Here is an 18,013-nt window from a genome sequence, read left to right as displayed (position 1 = left end):
GATATTATGTAGCTACAATAATCAAGACAATGTTTATTAGCAAATAATAGATACACAGATAGATGGAACAGGATAAAGAACCCAAAAATAAACCCACACAAATAAGCCCAACTGACTAATAAAGGAATTCATTTCAACAGAGATGATAAAGCAATTTAATGGAGGAAGGATCGTCTTTTTAACAAGTGACGCTGGAACAATTTGGCATTCATAAGCCAAAAAACGAACATTGTCCTAAACATCACAGCCTACACAAAAGACTAACTCAAAGTGCATCACACACACAAATGCAAAACATAAATTAGAAAACCTTTTTAAAAAGACAAATGAAAATCTTCCACGATATATGGCTAGGCAAAAACTTCTTAGACTTGGCACAGAAATCATGATCTAGAAAGGGGAAGAAAAAATTGATAATAGGACTTCACCAAAACTTTTGCTCTGTGAAAGCCTATGTGAAAAGAATAAAAACCTGGGAGAAAATATTTATAAACCACGTATCTAAACAATGACTTGTATCTATAATGTATATAGAACACTTAACACTCAACAGTTAAAAATCAATCCAATGAGAAATTAGCAAAATATATTTCACTAAGTAGGACAGACAGATGATGAACATATGAAAAGACATGCAATATCATTAGCCGTTAGAGAAATGCACATTAAAATCCCAGTGAAATATCACTATACACCTGTCAAAATGGCTAAAACAAACAGGCAAACTAACAGTGATGACACCAAATCCTGGCAAAAATGCCACATAACTGGATAACTCATAGATTTTTGGTGGAAATATAAAATGGGACAATAGTATGTACAGCCTCTCTGGGAAAGGTTCAGCAGAAACACTTCTTACAAAACACTTACAGTATACTTATTATACAACCCAGGAATTACACTCTTGGGCATTTATCCCAGAGAAATGAAAACTTATGTTCACAAAAAACCAGTATGTGAATATTCACAGCAGTTTTGTTTATAATAATTGAAAACTGGAAACAGCTCAAATGTCCCTCAGTGGGCAAATGGTACAACTGTGGTACATGCATATGGAACACTCAGAAATAAAAAGGAACAAACTATTAATATGCTTAACAACTTTGGTGAACTCCAGGAATTTGTGCCCACCAAAAAAAAGAAAAATAAAGCCAATCGTAAGAAGTTACATGTGATATGATTCCATTAATATAGCACTCTCAAAATGACAAAATTATAGAGTTGGAAGACAGATTAATGATTGCCAAGGGCTCAAGATACAGGGAGAGGCTGTGACTATGAAGGTTAGTAAAGAATTGTTGATGGGTCTGTTTGTATCTTGACTGTGGCGGTGGTCACACAAATCTATAAGTAAGGTAAAATTTCATAGAAATAAATATCCACACACAGACAAATGAGTGCATGTAAAGCAGGTGAAATTTGAATAGAGGCAATGGATTGCATCAATGCCAGTGTCCCACTTTTGATACTGTACTCTTGTCATGCAATATGTTACCACTGAGTGAAATTGGGGGAAGAGTTTATGGGATGTGATTATTTCTTAGAACTGCATGTGAATCTATAATTATCGTAAAATAAAGAGTAAAAAATGTATAAATACCTCATATACTGGTGCTTAGTCTACCACTAAAATTTGGAGATGACTCAGAAGTTGTCTCCAGAACCTGAACTGAGCAGCCTAGCTGGGGTCTCAGGTGAAGGAGCCCTGCTCAAGGGGCTGGATTACCCCCATAAACTCAGGCTTAAGGTACAGCAAAGCCAGCCTTGGTGGAGAAGTGTGGGGTTGAAATATTTTGATAATTGATATTTTAATAGAAGCATTTCAGTAGTCATTATGAGGGGGGAAAGAGGAAAATCAGTAAATAAATGTAGAAGGAATGAACAAAATAGAAAAATCACCATAGTGTAAACTAGTAAAATAAGGGATTCAGATAAGGATCATCAAGAGATGCTGAAAAGCAGTAAAGGCAGGGTAATAAGGAACACGATATTCCTGCAGTCTCATAACATCACCCCATGGAGTGCTTGCGGACTGGAAAGGGTAAACATACCTTAGATAACGGAGCACCGTTACACATTTAGCTATGCAATACAATTAACATCACTAACAGAAACTTCCTAATATTATGTGCCTCTTGGTGCAAGGTGGTATGAAATACACAGAAGCCGTATTCTTGCCAAAAATATTTAGTACAAATCTAAACAAGCTTTTAAATCTAGTTTCTCAGTTGTATGAAATATGGAAAATAGAAGATTCAACCATGAATCCAGAATACAAAATATTCCACAAGCTCAGTTCCCTCAATAAATCAATACCACGACAAAAGAAAAAAGGAGAGGGCTTTCTTTATTGAAGAGACGCAATAACAAAATGTAATATGCGAATGTAGACTGTATTCTTGTTTTAATAAAATTATAAAAGTCATTTTTGAAGCACTTGGAGAAATTTGAATATGGACTGTGTACGAGATGATAGTGGGGATTAGTTTAATTTTCTTCGCTTTGATTATGGGGGTGTCATTTTATAGCAGGATATTTCCATTTTAAGGAGATATATAATGGACATTTTTTAGTGGTGAAATGTCATATTGACAGTATCTTCCTTCTGAAAGAAAAAGTATGGAAGAGACAAAAATAGATCAGAAAGAGCTTTTCCCCAGTGTCTCAGAGACGTTTTCTACCTGGACTGGATGTTGTGTACTGGATGCGCTCCGAATGTGACTTCAAAGGGAACGTAGTTGGGTGCTTACTAAGTGCCAGTCTTCTTACACAGCAGGCTTTTAGGGATTATCTCGTTTAGTCCGCACAGCAATCCTCTCAGTTGAAATGCAATAGATTGTCTATTAAGATTATCTGAAATAAGAATCTTCTCGGGCAGATGAATTGGTTCTGAGAGTCAGGAGAGTGCATCAGGAAGTGAGATCATGGAAAAGTGGCTTTCTTAAGAAGGGAGTGAAGCTTCAAACATGGATTCACTTTTGGACATGTAGCGAATCGAAGATTTGGATTCCTTAACCGAGAATGCTTTTAAGAAATTGAACTTCCTGGCCGGGCGCCGTGGCTCACGCCTGTAATCCCAGCACTTTGGGAGGCCGAGGCGGGCAGATCACGAGGTCAGGAGATCGAGACCATCCTGGCGAACACGGTGAAACCCCGTCTCTACTGAAAAATACAACAAATTAGCCGGGCGTGGTGGCAGGCGCCTGTAGTCCCAGCTACTTGGGAGGCTGAGGCAGGAGAATGGCGTGAACCCGGGAGGCGGAGCTTGCAGTGAGCCGAGATGGCGCCACTGCACTCCGGCCTGGGTGAAAGAGCGGGACTCCGTCTCAAAAAAAAAAAAAAAAAAAAAAAAAAGAAAGAAAGAAAAGAAATTGAACTTTCTTCCCGAGGACCAAATAGATTCATTTTGCCTTAACGAGATGTTAATACTTTGTGACTCAAGTGAGTTTATAAGTATTATATGTATTTCTACACAAAATGCAAATTTGAATAATAAAAATTTAGGAAATTTTTCCTGTATTCACTTTACATCCCTTAACTTCACATTCAGTTTTGAATGAGTAACAATAATGTGTGCAGAGCCTACCAAAGATGCAGAAAGGGAAAGCTCAGAACAAGCAGAAATAAAAGCTGTAACTTCTGAAAAAACTGAATTAATAGGCTGGGCGCGGTGGCTCACGCCTGTAATCCCAGCACTTTGGGAGGCTGAGGCGGGCAGATCACAAGGTCAGGAGATCGAGACCATCCTGGCTAACACGGTGAAACCCCGTTTCTACTAAAAGTACAAAAAATTAGCCAGGCGTGGTGGCGGGCGCCTGTAGTCCCAGCTACTCGGGAGGCTAAGGCTGGAGAATGGCATGAACCCAGGAGGTGGAGCTTGCAGTGAGCCGAGATCGGGCCGTTGCACTCCAGCCTGGGGGACAGAGGGAGACTCTGCCTCAAACAAACAAACAAATAAAAACAACAACAAAAAAACTGAATTAATAGCAAGTGTATTTCCTGATGCTGTTGTAGACCCAAAGAATACTAACGAACTGCTCCCTAATAGTTAGGCAGAACTTTTAGGCTTACATAGCATCAAGTAGTCTTTTCTAGGTATCTAAACGCTACAACCCCTAAAGACATGAATGGAATGGAGAAGAACCCAGTAGCTCCAGACATTGGACACAGTATACATTCTTCTTTGAATCTGTGTGATATTTTGAACTCTGTGTTGAGCTCTTCACATCTTGAATTAAATGAGGAAATTAATTGTGTTGATATACCTAATGCTAAATGACGAGTTAATGGGTGCAGCACACCAGCATGGCACATGTATACATATGTAACTAACCTGCACATTGTGCACATGTACCCTAAAATTTAAAGTATAATAAAAAAAGAAAGAAAAAAATGAAAGATTTCCAAAGGATTATGTGAAATTTTATTTTATTGTTTAAATTATTTTATTTTATTGTTTAAATTATTTTATTTTATTTTATTGTTTAAATTATTTTATTTTATTTTATTTTATTTTATTTATTTTATTTATTTTATGTTATTTGAGACTGAGTCTCTGTTGCCCAGGCTGGAGTGCAGTAGCACGATCACGCCTCACTGCAACCTCTGCCTTCTGGGTTCAAGCGATTCTCCTTCCTCAGCCTCCCAAGTAGCTGGGACTACAGGCATGCACCACCAAGCCCGGCTAATTTTTATATTTTTAGTAGAGACAGGGTTTCACCATGTTGGGCAGGCTGGTCTCGAACTCCTGACCTCAGGTGATTCGTATGCCTCGGCCTCCCAAAGTGCTGGGATTACAGGTATGAGCCACTGCGCCGGGCCAGATTATGTGAAATTTTAGATAAACACAGAAGAATTTATGAATGACGATGAACAGGAAATGGAGAAAATTCTAATATCATGCGGTACTTTGTCAGCCAGAGTCAGTGACAATTATTAGGCTGATATGTTGACTGCCATGCCAGGGATGATCAAATCTCTTACCATCCACTGTCTGGAGGTGCCAACACCTGCTGAACTGGCTTTCCAGATCAATGAATTACAGTCAGACACTGTGTAATAATGTTTCAGTCAGTGACAAACCGCGTATACGACAGTGATCCCATGGATTATAACAGAGCTGAAAAATTCCTATAGCCTCTTGAAGTTGTAGCCATCGTAACATAGTGCAGTGTTTTCCTCCCATGTTTGCGGTGATGCTGTGAAAATAAACCTATTGCACTACCAGTCTTATAAAACGGTAGCACGTAGAATTATGTACAGTATTAATGCTTGATAATGGCAATAACTATGTTGCTGGTTTATGTATTTACTATACCGTAGGTTTTATTTTTATTTTAGAATGTATGTTTCTACTTATAAAAAAGGTTAACTGTAAAACAGCCTCAGGCAGGTTGTCAGGAGTTATTCCAGAAGAAGGCACTGTTATCTTAGGAAGTGACAGCTCCATGCGTGTTACTGCCCCTGAAGACCTTCCAGTGGGACAAGTTGTGGAGGTGGAAGACAGTGACACTGATGCTCCTGACCCTGGGTAGGCCTCGGCTAATGTGTGGGCTCATGTTTTAATTTTTAACAAAAAAGTTTAAAAAGTCGAAAGAGTAAAAATTAAATTAAAAAAGCTTATAGGATAAGAATATAAAGAAAGAATTTTTTTTATAGCTGGACAATCTGTGTTTTAAACTAAGTATTATTACACAGTAGTCAAAAAGTAAAAAACAAAAACAAAAAAATACTAAAACGCTCATAGGGTAAAAAAGTTACAATAAGCCAAGGTTAATTTATTACTGAGGAAAAATATATTTTCTTATAAATTTAGTGTTGCCTAAGTGCACAGTATTTATAAAGTCTACGGTAGTGTACCGTAATGTCCTAGCCTTCACATTCACTCACCACTCACTCACTGACTCACCCAACGCCACCTCCAGTCCTGCAAGCTCCATTAGTGGTACCTGCCCTAAACAGGTGTACCATGTGTGTCTTTTATACTGTATTTTTTACTGCACTCTTTGTATGTTTAGACATGTTTAGATACAAACATACTTACCGTTGTGTTACAGTTGCCTACAGTATTCAGTACAGTTACATGCTGTGCAGGTTTGTAGCCCAGGAGCAGTAGGCTGTACCACAGAGCCCAGGCGTGTAGTAGGTTATGCCATCTAGGTTTGTGTAAGTGTACTTAGTGATGTTCGCACAGTGATGAAATTACCTAACAATGCATTTTTCAGAACATATTCCTATCATTAAGAAACACATGATATTTGGCCATGTTGGAATGGATTTTAGGGTCTCTAACAGTTGAGGATAGTCTAGTTCATGTAGATTTGAACCTGACAAAAGTGACTTATGAGAAATTGCAAGAATTCTTGGCAGGTTTCTTTTTATGAAGAACTCCCTTTGTGCTCATTTTGTCACCTTTACTTTTGTCACCTTTACTTTCTATAACAAAATAAACCATGTTACATGAAATAATTCTATTGAATTTTGATTTTGAGAGAGAACTTTCACCAGTTAACACGTTGCTGATTTTGTTTTCCTCTAAGTTTTTAGATTAATATCAGATTAGGCAAATTATACCATTAGTGATGAAACTTAATGTGAATGATTGTTTCTGAGGGGAAAAACCTCGAAACAGTGAGATTTTTACTCTCTCAGTTAAATAATGCAATGCTGATTGATTGAGTTTTAAAAACAGTTTTTATTTTTTAAAGCAGCAGCCGAATTCTCTTAAGTGGAGGGATCGCATAGGTGTCCTGGAGCTCCACCATGGTGAGTGGAGTCACACTTTACAATTTTATTTATCCAGCTTTATTTGTTGACTTACATTTAATAAGAATGATTTTGTCACAATTCTAAAAGGCGAAATGATTTCTAGAAAAAATAATATAAATATATTTACTAATATACCCGTCCTTTGCCAATCTCTTGTCCTGCACATGTGTTTAGAAGTAACAAAAACAAGCTGTGTCCTATGGCAAGCTTACGGGAGGCCCTCCCCTGGTTGGGCATGTTGGACTTGATCATACTGAACAAAATTCATCTCAGAGAACAAGAAATTACTGCAGACTTTAGCAGCACCCGAAGTGTTACTCTGTCTAATTGGATCATCGGAATAGTCAAGTTTTTAAAATTGTCACTCAGGCCGGGCGCGGTGGCTCACGCCTGTAATCCCAGCACTTTGGGAGGCTGAGGCGGGCGGATCACAAGGTCAGGAGATCGAGACCATCCTGGCTAACACGGTGAAACCCCGTCTCTACTAAAAATACAAAAAAGTAGCTGGGCATGGTGGCGGGCGCCTGTAGTCCCAGCTACTCGGGAGGCTGAGGCAGGAGAATGGTGTGAACGCGGGAGGCGGAGCTTGCAGTGAGCCGAGATCGCACCACACCACTCCAGCCTGAGCGATAGAGTGAGACTCCGCCTCAAAAAAAAAAAAAAAAAGTGTCACTCACAGAAATAGCTAACAGAAGAAATTGCCTTACAGGAAAAATCACGACTTAAGAAGGAAGTCACTTATCTTTGTAATAGAATGTGTCATCAGACTGAAGAAGCAGCAGCTCTCCAAGTTACTCCTCGCCATTAACCAAAATTTGGAGGTGTACACTTTCAAGGACCACAGTTATTTCTTAGAACATACAGTGCAATTTTAAAACTGTGTTCTTGAAAGGAATCGTTTACAAAAAGTTATAGCACAGGAGTTTTTCATGAAAATGCAAATGTCACTTCTGCTGAATGGAAGGCTAAAGAGAAAAGGCAAAGAAAGAGACTCAAGACATACGAAGTGGGCCCGGTCGTGGTGGCTCATGCCTGTAATCCCAGCACTTTGGGAGGCCGAAGCAGGCGGATCACCTGAGGTCAGGAGTTTGCGATTAGCCTGGCCAACATAGTGAAACCCTGTCTCCACTAAAAATACAAAAATTAGTGGGGCGTGGTGGTGGGCACCTGTAGTCCCAGCTACTTAGGAGGCTGAGGCAGGAGAATCGCCTGAACCTAGGGACAGAGGTTGCAGTGAGCCAAGATTGCACCACTGCCCTCTAGCCTTGGCAACAGAGCGAGACTCTGTCTTAAAAAAAAAAAAAAAAAAGTGGACCATTTCTAGGCATTGGATGGTTGCAGAGGAGATGCCCTCATGCACCTACAGAAGTGGAGGGCATGCCCACCAGGTCAGTCCCCATAAGTAGACGTGCAAAGCTCATCACGCCTCCCTGTTGTCACCAAATGTCTCAGACCTCCATGGGCTGCATGTGGACAAAGCTAGAGAATATTTTATGACAATGCTACAGCAAAAACCTGAAGATTTAAGCAAAATGCCTCTCTGTGATTATGGGGGTTGAAAAGCATAGCCAGGGAGCAGCCACTGTCATCAGACCAGCTGCTGCCATAAAATGCCTCACAGCCACAACTTCTGGATCTCTGAAGTTAAACCAGACTTTAGCTCTGAAGTCGGGCTAAAGTAAAAGACACTTCCTTAACTTAGAACTGTGAAGAATTTAATAGAGAAACAAGGCTGAACACATCTGAATTTTGAAGAGCTATTTATGACTTCATGTCGTATATGACAAATTTTATTATCGTTCTCTTTAAAATCGAGCAATTGATTCTCATCATCCAAAGGGTGAACCTGTTTTTAATAAATGAATTAACTATGAGACTGCTCATTAAAATGTAATATTGCAACTATCTATGGAAGAATAGATTATACAATTTTCAGCCAGCATAAGAAAAACAAAAAGATTTTATTTGAACTATTAAAAAAAGTAATTTTCCTGTCAACTCTGTACTTTTTTATATACATTTTTATAACTTTGCTTTAAAAATTTCTTGTGAAACGATTTGCAAATTACATATAGTATAATAGTAAAATAAAATACTTTGGCCAAAAAAAGGATATTTACTAATATGCAATGTAGCCACACTTTAGAAGCTTATACAGACTTTATAATTGTCCTTGAAGGCCAGAAGTTTGTTTTGTCAGTCACTCTGCTTCCTTGGGTTCCACTGGCTTGGAGGGGCTCTCACCAGCATCTTCCATTGTCCCTGAAAGGGTTGTAGAGGTGTGCATTAGTTTCCTGGGGCTGTCATAACAAAATACTGTATAGTGAGTGTGGCTTGACCAACAGAAATGTATGGTCTCACAGTTCTGGAAGCAGGAAGTCCAAAATCAAGGTGGTGGCAGGGTTGGTTCTTCTGAGGGCTGTGAGGGAAAGATCTGTTCCTGGCCTCTCTCCTTGGCTTGTAGATGGCTGAGCTATAGTTTTGTTATTTTTTCCCTCCAAATCCCATGTTGAAATGTGATCCCCAATGTTGGAGGTGGGGCCTGGAGGGAGGTGTTTGGGTCATGGGGGCGGATCCCTCATGGAATGGCTTGGTGCCCTCCCTGTGGTGATGAGTGAGTTCTTTCTCTGTGAGTTCATGCAGGAGCTGGTTGTTTAAAGGAGCCTGGTGCCTCCTCCCTCTCTCTCTTACTCTTTCACTCACCATGTGACATGCCTGCTCCCCCTTCACCTTCCACCATGAGTAAAAGCTTCCTGAGGGCTCACCAGAGGCAGATGCCAGCACTATGTTTCTTGTACAGTGTGCAGAACAATGAGCCAAAATAAACCTCTTTTATTTGTAAATTACCTAGTCTCAGGTATTCCTTTATAGCAACACAAAACAGACTAGTACAGCTGCCTTCTCCCTCTGTCTCTTCAGATCATCTTCCCTGTATGTATGTGCATCTCTGTGTCCAAATTTCCCCTTTTTATAAGGACACCAGGTCATATTGGATTAAGGCCCACCCTAATGACCTTATTAATTTCCCTTTTTATAAGGACACCAGTCATTGGGTTAGGGTCCATCCTAATGACCTCACTTGAAATCCTGCCTCCAGATGAGATCATGCTCTGAGGTATTAGGGATTAGGATTTAACATGAAAGTGAGGGGGATGCAATTCAGCCCATCACAGGGTGGATTCCCCTTCTGGGGCTGTGTTACTCAAACCATCCCAGGAAGGGTAACAGGGCCAGAGGAGCTGAAGAATTGTGAGCCCTTGTTTACCAGGCTTGGGGGGTTCTGTCTTGCACTACTACCCTGAAAACCCTACTGGTTGCCAATTGAATTTATCAGGGAACTCCAGTGCCCAGTGACAAAGGCTGGAAATCTTTTCTCCTAAAGATCTTTAAGGGTGCACCTGCCCTCACAGTCCCTCTGGCTCTGAGCTTGTGGCTCTATCTGTTCCCTATGCCCACATGAATGAGTTCTGCCTCAATCCCTGCTCCCCACTGTGGGGAACCAAGTACCAACCTCAACTTGCTGGGCAGATGCTACGTGACAGTCTAAGTGCTAAGCTCTTTACAGACATGGTCTCATTTTATCTTCCTCATAAGCCAAAGAGGTAAAGAATGACATTACTGTTTTACAGATGAGAAGGCCACATTGTGAAGAAATTAAGTGATTTGCCCGAGGTTTGTGTTGATCATTTCATTAAATGAAGTATCATATCTATCATACTTTTTCATTTATTAGAAACAAAATACCACTCATGGTAAGAACAAAGATGTGGAGGAGCAGTAGAAGAACAGAGAAGTAGGAGTGGAATTTCATGAGTCCCCAAACCGAAGACCAATACCTATGATTAGAAATACAGGGGACTCCATGTTCATAGTGGCGTTATTCACAATAGCCAAAAAGTGAAGTCACCCAGGTGTCCTTGTGTGGATGAATGGATAAGCAAAATGTGGTCCATGTGTATAATGAAACATTACCCAACCTCGGAAAGGAAGGACATCTTCTATACGCCAGAACATGGATGAACCTCGAGGACATTATGCTGAGTGAAATAAGCCAGGCACAAAAGAACAGACACTGTGTGATTCCACTTACATGAGGTGTCTGGAGTGCTCAGTCTCATGGAGACAGAAAATAGAATGGTGGTTGCCAGGGGATAAGGAGTTGGGGATAGCATGTTTGCATTTAATAGGTACAAAATTTCATTTTAAGAAGATGAAAGTTTTATAGATGGTTGGTGGTGATAGTTGCACAAAAAGGTGAATGCATTTAATGCCACTGGACTATATACTTAGAAATGACTAAGATGATGAGTTTTTATGTGTATTCACAACTTAAAAATAATTTTTAAAAAAGAAAGGAAAGGCACTGACCCCAACCCACACACTCAACAGTTTTTGAATCCAGATTTTCTGGCAATGATATAAAATGTCTTTTGATCCAATCACTCAGGAAGGTCAAGAGAAAACCCTGCATTTTTATTGGGAAGAATAGCCTCGAAGCAGGAGCATCGTTTAGAACCTGTCTGTGTGCATCTTCAGTAAACATTCGAGTAATAAATCACTGTTGCACTTGAAGGAAGGTCTCCAGGTTCTGGTGGTAGGTGTGGGGTTGGCAAGAGTGCAGCTTTAAGGTGTGAGCTCCGGGATTTCTCACTGAGGATAAGTTCATCTTTCTACCAGTTCTGCACAGTTGAGTCTAAGCACAGGTGGTGGTGGGGAGGTAAACATGGAGATGACCAAGGAAACACACTCTGACCCATCCCTGATTGCAAAATGAAAGGGTGTTGGATCCAGAATGTGGTTGGTACTTGATAGGTGCACTGTCCCTGACAAAAACGGGGCAGAAGGGTGACCTACACACTCCTATTTCTCATCTCCAGTTTGTTCCTTATCAACTACCACTTTCTCTTCCTGCCTCTCCTGAGTCTTGAAGTTTGTAAAGTCTGGTCTGGCTTACTCCTCATAGGTATCCAGCATTTAGTTTTGAAACATATCAACACTTGTACAAATGGCAGTTAGGGTGACTGTTATGAAAAGGAAATCTAATACACTATTCCTCCACTTGAAATCCTCCATGTCTCCCCATTCCCTGAGGCACATGATTGAAGCCCGAAGAACGCATGCCCCACCTGCTCCCTGCCCATTGGTCCAGCTGCCACCCAGACAAGGTCTGGCACCAGATCCATAGTCAGCAGTGCTGGCCCTGCAGCCTCTGCTAACGGGGCTCACCAGCCTGCAGCCTCGGCTCCTCCATACTCACCTGCCCACCACTACTAGCTCAGCCTACAACCTTAGCCAACTCCTTAGCCTCCAGGAAGACCTCCAGGTGGTTCCTCAACTTAGGTGTCTCTTCTAGCCTTAATCCTGGAAGTTGACTTGCTGGTTGCATTATGATTCCTAAGCCCCAGCTGTGGAGGGAGAGTCCCTGGAAGATGGGACAATGTCTTTGCCCCTGAACTTCCATCCCTGGCATAGTGCCAGCTTTTTCATGGAGGGTATTCAGTAAGCACTGCATGTGAAATGCATTGTGCCAAGTTATTTTGCCTCGTTTAACTCTTGAAAAGCAGGCTTCTGTGCAGACCAGGCTCAAATCCATGCTTCCAGGTGCCCTGTGCGGTGCCACCACAGTGTAGCACACAGACCTGCACGTGCCTACATGGCATTGATTCCAGGCCTTGGTTTCCTCTTTGGGAAGATAAAGTAACTGTACTAAATGCAGAGAGAAATTAGTTAACTTTATCACTTGCTTTTAGAATGATTCTTGAAATATGAATAAAAAATATAAATTTCTGGCTTATTTTGGCTTTTCTTTTCCTAGAGTAACTGAATTTTTAAAAATCAAGCAATGCAGGAAGGAATAAAAACAAATTCAGGTTTACATATATGAGACTGGCAGCACAATACAACTAACCTCTGCTAGTTGGTGACTAACAGTTGGAAATCCATCCTGGAAGTTCCCAAGCACATCAGTGTTGCAGAGGACCTTGAAAGCACAGCAAATGGGTGAGCACACATTATTAAACTTTTATTAGGTTGTCAGCCTTGTGTATCTCTTTCAAAAACGTGTAGCTCATAAAAACATTCTTCACTTATCTTCAGCTGATTTGATGCAATTTTCTTCAATGGTGCTTAGTTATATTTAATCCCTGTGCCATACTTATGTCCAAAAAAATGGGAAATAATGCAAAGCAGGCCATATTCTAAAATGAAAAGCATTAAATTAAGGTTCTAGGTTCCCTCAAAAAGAGCAAAGCAGAGTGGACCTCACCTTATATAGCATCTATCTCTAAACTTTGCATTTTATTTTGAAACTCTGCAAAGCAATAAAAAACTCATTAACTTTTATAGCCAGTCAGAAAGGTAGTAATAGCATCTGTAGCAATGGAGATGTAATTAGGCTTTTATTTAAATGTGGCAGGGAGTTTGTTCTCATTATACGAAATAAATGAACAACCACAAATCACCAGTGGATTCATGCTCCCTATGGTGCTGGTGCAAGTGGTCCAGGAACTTGCCCAGTGCTGCTTCCTTATGTGGCAACAGAGCCTGTGAGCCCCAGAGCCAGGGCTGGATGGAAACCAGCTTTCTGAAGGTTGAATAGTCACAGCAATTATATTAACGATTATAATCATGACAGAAAAGATTCTCCGTCCACATTGTTGTGTTAAAACAGAAAAAGAAAAAAAAAGTGTTGCAGATCATCAATGCAATTCTTAACTTGGTCATAGAAAAACACCGAATTTGATCATCCTCTTGTCTCTGCTGTAGCTAAGCTCCTTTCCTGGCCTCCAATTCCTGTTTCCTTCCCAATACAGCAACTTCCTTCTATCTGTATTATCTCCTTGCCCATTTAGATAGCCTCAGAAAAACATGGGGAAGAACCAATTTGAAAGGTCTCAGTGGGTTTCATCAGGTTCCTAACAGATAATAAATGCTGAGCTAAGGACCCTAGGTTCTTCCAAAAAATGATGATATTAAAGCTCTACATCCTCTTTTTGAAAGTATGTAAAACTACTTTAGTGGTTTTGATTCATTTTAATCTTATGTCAGCTACATTATTATGTAAGGGAAATTCAAAGATGAGGATAGAAATTTACTCAGAAAAAGTATAAATTGATTTCTGTTTAAAGATGATTTTCCGGCCGGGCGCGGTGGCTCACGCCTGTAATCCCAGCACTTTGGGAGGCCGAGGCGGGCGGATCACGAGGTCAGGAGATCGAGACCATCCTGGCTAACACGGTGAAACCCCGTCTCTACTAAAAATACAAAAAATTAGCCGGGCGAGGTGGCGGGCGCCTGTAGTCCCAGCTACTTGGGAGGCTGAGGCAGGAGAATGGCGTGAACCCCAGGGGGCGGAGACTGCAGTGAGCCGAGATTGCGCCACTGCACTCCAGCCTGGGCGACAGCGAGACTCTGTCTCAAAAAAAAAAAAAAAAAAAAAAAAAAGATGATTTTCCTTAATCTCATCTCTCAAAACCCACAAATATATATGTATTACTAGGTATGTGTGTGTATATATATATATATATATAAAATATATATATATGCACACATGTGCATATATATTTTTTGTTGTTGATTTGTTTGTGTATATGTATATGAATGTATACACATATGTGTATATACACATATTTATACACTCATGTATATGCACACAAATCAACAATAAAAAATAGAGGGCAAAAAATCCAATTTATATATAACAAGAAAATGGCTACATTCTCAAAACATCTTGACTGGAGCTCGAGAGCCAATAAAAAGTTGATCTCTGCCACCTGAGACCTTGGGCCAGGATACACGTGCTCTTAAAAGGGCAGGTTCCGTGTTCACTTGTATGTTCCGGCCCCAGCTGCTTTCCCTGATGGAAGAGGGCCAGAGGCACACAGCGGGAAAGTGGAGAAGCTGGAAGGGCTTAAGAGTCTAAGTCTGGGGAAGGTGAAGGAGTGTCCCCAGGGCGAAGAAAGAGCAGGTTTGTTGGAGGGCACTCAAGAACACACCCACGTGAAAGCCGTAGATAGGCTTTCCCTATCCCGCATCCCGCCACACTCCCATCCCACCCCTCGGCAGTACTAGCTCAGCCAATGGGGCTACTGACTGTCCCTTCTCCAAGATGAGTCATATTGAGAAGAACGGCCTGGGCCCATGGAGAACAACTGCCATCAAACAATCAATTGGCAGCATCCATCAAATACCTGATGGAGGGAAAAAAGGAAAGACAGAGGCACATCGGGGCAGATATCACGAAAGACAGTTTTCAAGGACACAGAGAGGGATTCTCACCAACAGTGCTTCATTCTGCACAAAGATTCTATGCAGCAGGCAGCATTTTCTGCACCTGAAACGAGAACTGTCACGGAAGAGTCAGGATATTCAAGTAAGAGGCCGTGTGACAGTGGGAGAGGATGTGAACAGAGCTGTCAGAGTCCATTAGGACATGGAAAGGAGGAAGAACACTGCAGAAATAAAAAATCCATATGAAGCGACAACAAAGGAAAAACAAGACAGATGATATCATGAGGTCTTGACAAATAGACCTGGGAAAATCTCATAAACTACGTATTAAAGAGAACCAGGGAACTTAAAAATGCTTTTAGCAAAACAATGGCCAGGAGAGGGCAAGATAGACAAGGACAGCTCGGCTCTCAGCAGGCGCTTCTAACCCTCTCACTGTCCCCGCCGCCAGCCCTGGGGGAAGAACACTGTGTTTTTGTTTTTGTTTTTACTACAGATTCTTAAATATTTTAAATTTTGAACCATAGATATATGTTTCCATTTTAGCATTAATCAATAAAATGGCTGTTGGAAACTCAGTGAAGAACAATACAAGAAATGTGATAAACCCCACAACGGGTATATGACCATCTTTGATCAATTTTACAACTGCTACTGCTCACCCCTCAATGCCCATCAGTCTCTCACAGGAATGCACCAAGAGAAGAGAATCTCCAGCAGGAGGCCCAGAGGTGGAAGAGGCAGGGATGCGAAGAAGCAGAGGAGGCTGGAAGGAACCGGGCGAGAAGTGGGGACAGCGGGAGTGTAAGTGAGAGCCAGTGAGGCCGCTCACGCAGGGCACCCGGCCAGGTGAAAACTTTTAGAATTTGCTTCAAAAGTCAGTGAAGTGCTCTAAGCAGCACAGTGTCAAAATCAGATTTAAAGTTGTCAAAGGGCATTTTTAATGCAAAAAGCAACAGACTGGGCAAAAGTGTTTTTAATATGTGTAACCAAAAAAAGAGAGTTAAAAACTAGTATTTTTTTTCAAAATGTTCCCAGAAATAACATAAATAAAATTAGTTAGAAAACAAAGCAGACAATTAAAAGAAAAAGAGATACAATTAGTCGATAAATCTATGAAAAAATGGTCACTGTATCGTAAGGCCTGAAATTTCATTTCCCACCTTAACGCCTTCGACCCTCACAAGGCCCCAAGGGTCTAATCCTAAGTCCTTATGCTCACACCAGACGTGTACCCCCGCCAGTGGGAAAGGCTCCTTGCCTGGCCAGTTCCCCATTAGCTGGACTAGCTTCACTTAACCTGATCCTCACTCTAATGGGCTTCGCTTCCCTGCCAGCTCATGAAATTATTCAAAAAAGCTAGTCACATCCTCACATGGGGCCTGGAGGCACCTCAGCATCTTGTTAGTTCAAAGCCTGCCTCCTTTTCACTAGAGTCCCTGCAGGCTCTCTGTGTTCCCATGTGCAAGTCCCTTATGGCCCTGTGTAAAATGCAATGTCCTCCTCCCCGAGGCCTTGAGCATATGTAAGCAACAAACCGCTATGAGCTTATCTGTCCAGTCCCGCAGGGTGGATGCAAGTGGTCAGAACAGTCACCTCATTTGTAATCAGAGAAACATTAACTGAAGCAGCAATGATACGGAATATTTTTACCCAATGGATTCATAAAATTATGAACCAGTATTAACTACCTGTGTTGGCAGTGGTTTGCATGGGAATATATATTGATGGTTTTTCAGGGGATATCTATTAAAATATACAAATCCTGTGACCTCTGATTTACCTTCTAGAAACATTTACTTAGATGCACTGTTGGTAACAGAGAAAAAATTGGATAGAGCTTAAATAGCTACTAAAAGACAATGGTTAAATGAGTTTTGATATGACAACTGATAGGCAATTTTGTGGACTGGCTCATTTCCAATCTTCTTCCCTTGTGTCTCCCTGGACTGCAGAGACCAGAAAGCCAGAAACTACATTTGCTAAGCTCCCTGGATTACAGGCATGACTTAGCTCTGCCAATGAGATGTACTTATGTGTGATTTGACTTTGGATCTGTTTTAGGTGAGATAGAAATAGCATAAAGCAGTGTTTTAAAAAATACTTTATTGTTTAGAATGGTGTTAAATTTACAGAAAAATTGCGAAGCTACAGAGATCTTGCATATGCCAGCATAACCTTTTCCCCCTATTATTAACATCTTACATTCTTAAAGTTAATGGATCAATAGTGATATATGATTGTTATTAAGTGAATACCACAGTTTATTCAGATTTCCATTTATTTATTTAGAGACAAAGTTTCGCTCTTGTTGCCCAGGCTGGAGTGCAATGGCACGATCTTGGCTCACTGCAACCTCTGCCTCCCGGGTTCAAGCAATTCTCCTGCCTCAGCCTTCTGAGTAGCTGGGATTACAGGCATGCGCCACCACGCCCGGCTAATTTTGTATTTTTAGTAGAGACGGAGTTTCTCCAGGTTGGTCAGGCTGGTCTCGAACTCCCAACCTCAGATGATCTGCCCGCCTCGACCTCCCAAAGTGCTGGGATTACAGGCGTGAGCCACAGCCCCTGGCCCAGATTTCCTTATTTTTTGTAGAACTTCTTTTTCTGTTCCAGGTGTCTGTTCATAACTCCACACTGCACTTACCTCTCATGGCTCCTTAGGCTCTCTTGGTGGTGACAGATTCTCTGAGTTTTCTTGTTTTTGATGACACTGATAAATTTGAGGAGTAACGGTCATACTTGGTAAGATGTCCCTCGAATGGAATTGATGTGAATTCTTTCTCTGATTAGGCAGGTGCCAGCATGGCCCACCACTGCTGATGTGGACCTTGGTCACCTGGCTCAGGGAGTCTTTGTCAGGCTTCTTCACGTAAAGTTGCTCTTTTTTTCCCACTTTCCACACCGTACTCTTTGGAACGAAGCACCTCGTGCTTAAGGAGTGGGGATTTAAGCCCACTAGGATAGTTTCAGCACTCAAAAAACGTATGCTTTCAGAAAGACAAGCATCACATGTT

The 18,013-nt window shown here is 41.1% G+C and overlaps 1 long non-coding RNA gene across 10 annotated transcripts in view; it reads left to right on the top strand.

Annotated features, from left to right (window-relative positions):
• LOC102724078 (uncharacterized) overlaps window positions 1-18,013 on the top strand; it is a 187,103-nt gene that overhangs the window by 84,327 nt on the left and 84,763 nt on the right. Inside the window, exon 3 of one of the 10 annotated variants that reach the window (XR_007064568.1) lies at window positions 6,711-6,765. The exons of the other annotated variants lie outside the window; for them this stretch is intronic. This is a non-coding gene — a long non-coding RNA (uncharacterized LOC102724078). The remainder of the gene's footprint in view (window positions 1-6,710; window positions 6,766-18,013) is intronic. 10 annotated transcript variants of the gene reach the window in all.

The sequence above is a fragment of the Homo sapiens genome, chromosome 15 (assembly GCF_000001405.40).
Source record: "Homo sapiens chromosome 15, GRCh38.p14 Primary Assembly".
NCBI lineage: Eukaryota > Metazoa > Chordata > Mammalia > Primates > Hominidae > Homo > Homo sapiens.
This window is presented reverse-complemented; position numbering and strand designations above follow the sequence as displayed.